The following is a 5788-nucleotide window of genomic DNA, read 5'->3' as shown; positions in this document are numbered from 1 at the left end:
AGCAACGGCCATCTCATTCTACAGTCTTTACAAATGCTATTTATCCAGAACCTCTCAAATGCTTGATGTGCTGCAGCCCCTAGTACATTAATATCTACCTGTATCCCATGCCAGCTCATCACCAGCGAAAGTGTTAGCAATTGCACCCTAACCGCATGCTGGGGGCTGCCACTGTTCCACCTACTGTTCGTAATGGGGTCCTCAGAACCAGTCAGCCGGTGAGCAGCACAGCTCCCAAATCCCATTTCTGAGACTGCTGTCTTAGGCCAACTAACTGCTGTTGTAGGTCAGGTTTCCTGGGAAACAGACTCAGAAGCAGAGATTTGCGTGTAGGCAGTTTACTGAGTTTTGGGAACAACACCTGTGAGAAGGAAAGGAGACTGGATTGGGTAGAGAGAGAGGTTGGGCTCTGATGCAGTCACAACAGAGGCTTCAGGAGATTCTACGGGGAGATCAGAAACTGGGATGGCCCTTTGGAGATGTCCAATCGAGATGAGGAAGCCAGGCCTTCGTACGCCCCACTGACTTGTCATTGGATGCAGGATGCCCCAGCGAGGGGATCTCATCTTGGGCAATGCAGCTTCCTTCGGTTGAGGGCAATCCCTAGAAGAGACTCCGTTGTGAGCAGTCCGCAGCTAACACTCCTTGCAGCTGAGGGAATAAGTAACCTAGTTCTGAAGGAGAGGCTGGGAGGCATAACCACACTCCACTCCAGTGAGTGCTGTTACTCTACCCCTTTTAGAGATAAGTAAAACTGAGACACGGAGTAGGTAAGTAACTTCCCCAGCCAGGGAGTAACAGAGCCAGGGCCCATGCTCTGATGCCTCTCCAGGAGGAGGAAGAAAAGGAAGATCCTTCCTCCATTCCTGGGATCATGGCCAAGTCAAGGAACAGGTTAGACAGGCTAAGTCTGCTTTTTATATTCTAGGGTCTCCATACTGGTGCCCTTTTCTCTCTTCTTAGAGTTTTCTTCCCAGACCTCAGCCTCGAAGGCATGGCAGGGAGCATTTCGGGCTTGGGAGTGGAGATGATGTTGTCTGGGTGGGAGTAGGAATGACTGGTGTTGAGGCAATGACTAGACTGCAAAAAAAAAAAAAAAAATTTGAAAGTCAAGTTGAGGGAAGTAAAGTGAGATCATGAGGCTAAGGTCAACTATGGGGGTCTGAATAGTCAAGCTAAGGAATTTGAACACTACTTTATGCACAGTGATGAGGGGAGTGGAGGGTTCTGAGTAGAAGGGGGTGGGTGAGAATGATGTTCACAGCGTTGCTGAAGGAAGATTTTAATGTGTCCCGGGGCTGTGGATGAACTGGTGGCAGAGACTGGAGGCAGGGAAGTCTGTTAGGAGGCTGCAGCAACAGTCTGAGAGCCGGGAGGAAGCAGAGACAGTGAGAAGAGCAAAGAGAATGCTAGGCTAGGCATGCTGAGGCAACAATGTCAGCAATCCAAGCACGTTAAAGGTGATCATCTTAGGAGATACCAACATGGACAACAGGACCTCAAGTGTGCCCCATAAAGGACCCTACAGCAAAGCTTCATTGAGATGAAAGCATTCAAGGGCTTACTATGGAAAGGAGAGCAGAAATTGCTTTCCCCCAGTGGAAGTGTAAGCACCCACGTGACAACTAATACATGAGTACAGGAGGGCACGTGGGTACATGGGTGACTATTTGTCAATCTAGGTAAGGATTTTATTTAAAAACACTGATATGGTAATGCTGTGTGCCAGGCACTGTTCTCTATGTGAAGATCAACTCAATCATTTATTGTCACTGCAATTCTGTTACGTAGGTGTTATGGGAAAACTGAGGTTCAGAGAGGTTAAGTAATTTGCCCAAGGTTACCCAGTATTTTGGTCAGCTTAAACTGTTATAACAAAATACCATAAGGTGGATGGCATATAAACAGACATTAATTTCTCCCAGTTCCGGGGGCTGGAAATCTGAGATCAGGCTGCCGGCATGGGCAGGGGCTGGTGGGAGCCTCTTTTGGGCTGCAGACTGCCCACTTCTTCTTGTATCCCTGCGTGGTGGAAAACCAGCAAGGGAGCTCTCTGGGTTAAGGTTACCAATCCAATCACGAGGGTTCCACCCTCCTGACCTAATTATCGCCCACAGTCTCCACCTCTTAACACCATCATATTGAGGGTTAGGATTTCAGCATAGGAATTTTGGGGGAATGCACACATTCATTCCATAACATCTAGTAAGTGGAAGAACCAGGATTCAAACCCAGGCGCTGTCTCCATATTTCACACCACTAACCACCCTGCTGTGCTCAGGATGCCCTGTGATGCACTATGATAAAAATGAAAGTGGAAGCCAAGCACAGTGGCTCAAGACTGGTAATCTCAGCAATTTGGGAGGACCAGGTGGGAGGGTCACTTGGGCCCAGAAGTTCGAGACCAGCCTAGGCCACATAGTGAGATCCCATCTCTACAAAAATTTAAAAATAAAAAAAATGAGCTTGGCATGGGGCCTGTGCCTGTGGTCCCAGCTACTTGGAAGGCCAGGGTGGGAGGATCATTTGACTCTGGGAGGTGGAGGCTACAGTGAGCCGTGATCGCGCCACTGCACTCCAACTTGGGTGACAGAGTGAGACCCTGTCTCAAAAAAAGAAAATAAAAAGTGGGGATAAAAAGATAATAATCGCCAACTTACTGGTAAGTCCAGTTGAACTTTAAATATTGCCAAGATTTCTAATTTTTATTTTTGAGCCTATTGCTTCCACATTTTTACCTGTGACTTCATCTTGTCTTCTCTCTCTCAGATTTTGGATTCATAAACACCTTTGGGGAAGCCACGCCCATCGCTCTGTCTTGGGCTTGATCATGATCAGAACAGCCTGAAATAATCCCATACATCCACAATGACAAACGGTGGAGCATCTTAGTATTAGGGGGTTAGTCACTTACTCTTTCCTTAAGTGCTTCCTTTGTTCATATGGAAAACAACTATAGAACACCTTCCCTGTGTGGTCACTGGGCTGAAGATTAGAAATACAGAGAAGAGGCCGGGTGCATGGCTCATGCCTGTAATCCCAGCACTTTGGGAGGCCAAGGCAGGTGGATCACCTGAGGTCAGGAGTTCAAGACCAGCCTGGCCAACATGGTGAAACCCCATCTTTACTAAAAATACAACAAATTAGCTGAGCATGGTGGAGGGTGCTTGTAATCCCAGCTAATCGGGAGGCCAAGGCAGGAGAATCGCTTGAACCCGGGAGGTGGAGGTTGCAGTGAGCTGAGAGCACACCATTGCACGCCAGCCTGGGCAACAAGAGCGAAATTCTGTCTCAAAAAAAAAAAAAAAAAGAAAGAAAAATAAATACAGAGAAGGATAAGGCTTGGCCCCTGTGCTTGAGGGGTTTGTAGTCTGAGGGACTCTGGTCACCCCAGGTCCCCCACCCAGAATTCTAAAAGCAATTGGCAATAGGGAGGCAGGGGAACATTCTATGGCTGTTGGAAGCAGCCGGGGGTGGGGTGGAGTTGATGGTACTGGTATAAGGAGGAGAGTGGGGCAGTTATGCCGTAAGGGGAAATGTGAAACCTTGTCTTGATACACTTCTCAACCGGACCCTCAAATGCTTATCAGCTATTTTCTCACAGTCTTGGAAGAAGCCCGGGGGTGGGGGCGTATTTTATTGACATTTTGATATATCCATGAAAGAGTTAGGTGGTTTGCTCAATGTGCGTAGAATTCTCTGTCCTCCAATTTCATCAAGTACATTTCTATCCTTAAGAAGTGCTTGATAGAGAAACGAGTATATACAACATATATCTAAGTACAAAGTACAAAGCATACATCATAAAATGAACATTTATAAACTGCCCAACTTAATAACATTTCCAATTCTGTTGGCTACCTGTGAACTCCTCCCTAATCCCGCCCCCTGCCTACCTCCCAGAAGTAACTGCTGTCCTGGATTTTGTGTTTATCATTTCCTTGCTTTTTAGGATAGTTTCATCACACATATGGGACCCTAAACAATAGATTGTTTAGTTTGGCTTACTTTTTTAGATTTATAAAAATGGTTTCCTTCAGTGTAGAGTAGCTGTGACTTGCTTTTTGCATTTCACATTGTATCTCTAAGATTCTTCCAAATTGCCGAGTGTAGCTGTACTTCATTTTCACAGCTGTTGATTAATTCATTCAATAAACATTGATTGGGTCCCTGTAATATTCTATTAAGTACATATATCACAATTTCTTTATATAGTCTCCTATCAATGAATGTTTATGTTGTTTGTGTGTGTGTGTGTGTGTGTGTGTGTGTGTGTGTGTGTGTTTGCCTTTGTCAGTAATGCTACTGGGAACATCCTTGTACATGGCTCCTGAAACATATGTGTAAGATTTTTCTCAAGAGCACTGGTTTTCCAATTGGGATTCATGGCCTTTAGTGGGTCATAAAATCAATTTGATAGATTCAATCAGTGCTTAAAAAAAAGAAAGACAGAAACAGAGCAGAAACTGAGTTCCTTTCATGTATAAACCGAGTTCCTTTCTAAGTATCTCCATGAAACTTTTGTTTCAGTTACGTTTGTGTATCCTGGGTTATGATGTGAAGGGATTTTCTTTTTTTTTTTTTAATTTTCTTTCTTTCTTTTTTTTTTTTTTTCCGAGACGGAGTCTTGCTGTGTTGCCCAGAACTGGAGTGCAATGGCACGATCTTGGCTCACTGCAACCTCTGCCTCCCAGGTGCAAGCAATTCTCCTGCCTCAGCCTCCCGAGTAGCTGGGATTACAGGTGCACACCACCACGCCCGGCTAATGAGATTTTCTTACTATAGTTCATAGAAAAGTTTGAAAGCACTTGCTCTAGGGTGGTGCTTCTTAAACTATCTATGTGAGTTTTAAAATTTTTTCCAATCTGTCACAGACTGATACTTTTGTAAAATACAACAAAAATTAACTACTTGGAAAATGAAATTTTAAGAATTCAAAGACATACAAAATATAAACCTGAATTTTTAATTATTATATTCAACAGACATAAATTATAATCCAATGAATATAGTGTGGCAGTTTTTCACAAAAGACAAAATATGGAAGCAACCCGAGGGTCCATTGATGGATGAATGGATAAACAAAATGTGGTAGAAACATACAATAGAATATTACTCACCCTTTGAAAGGAAGTAAATTCTGACACATGCTACAACATGGATGAACCTTGAGGACATGAGGCCAAATGAAATCAACCAGTCACAAAGGGACAAAGCTACATGATTCCACTTATATGAGCACTTAGAGTAGTCAAGATCATAGAGACAGAAAGTAGAATGGTGGCTGATAGGGGCTGGGAGAAGGGGAAGTTGTTGGTACATGTATCAGTCTGTTCTCACGCTACTAATAAAGACATACCCGAGACTGCGTAATTTATAAAGGAAAGAAGATTAATTGACTCACAGTTGAGCATGGCTGGGGAGGCCTCAGGAAACTTACAATCATGGTGGAAGGAGAAGCAAACACATCCTTCTTTACACGGAAGCAGCAAGGAGAAGTTCTGAGCCAAGCGGTGGTGGGAGGGGAAAGCCCTTTATAAAACCAGCAGATCTCGTGAGAACTCACTCACTATCACGAGCACAGCATGGAAGTAACTGCCCCCATGATTCAATTACCTCCCACTGGGTCCCTCCCACAACATGTGGGGATTATGAGAACTATAGTTCAAGATGAGATTTGGGTGGGGACACAGCCAAACCATATCAGTATGTAATTTCAGTTTGGGAAGATAAAGTTCTAGAGATGCATGGTGGCGATGGTTGCGTGACAATGTGAATGTACTTAATG

The 5788-nt window shown here is 44.4% G+C and overlaps 1 long non-coding RNA gene across 1 annotated transcript; it reads right to left on the bottom strand.

The window, feature by feature from the left end:
• Positions 1-322: 322 nt before the first annotated feature.
• LOC101928894 (uncharacterized) lies at positions 323-5474 on the bottom strand. Its single transcript, NR_120565.1, has 3 exons — positions 5405-5474; positions 2739-2844; positions 323-1080 (listed from the first exon to the last, which is right to left on the bottom strand). It is a non-coding gene; the product is annotated as an uncharacterized LOC101928894 (long non-coding RNA).
• Positions 5475-5788: the final 314 nt, after the last annotated feature.

This window comes from Homo sapiens, chromosome 11 (genome assembly GCF_000001405.40).
Source record: "Homo sapiens chromosome 11, GRCh38.p14 Primary Assembly".
Lineage (NCBI taxonomy): Eukaryota > Metazoa > Chordata > Mammalia > Primates > Hominidae > Homo > Homo sapiens.
This window is presented reverse-complemented; position numbering and strand designations above follow the sequence as displayed.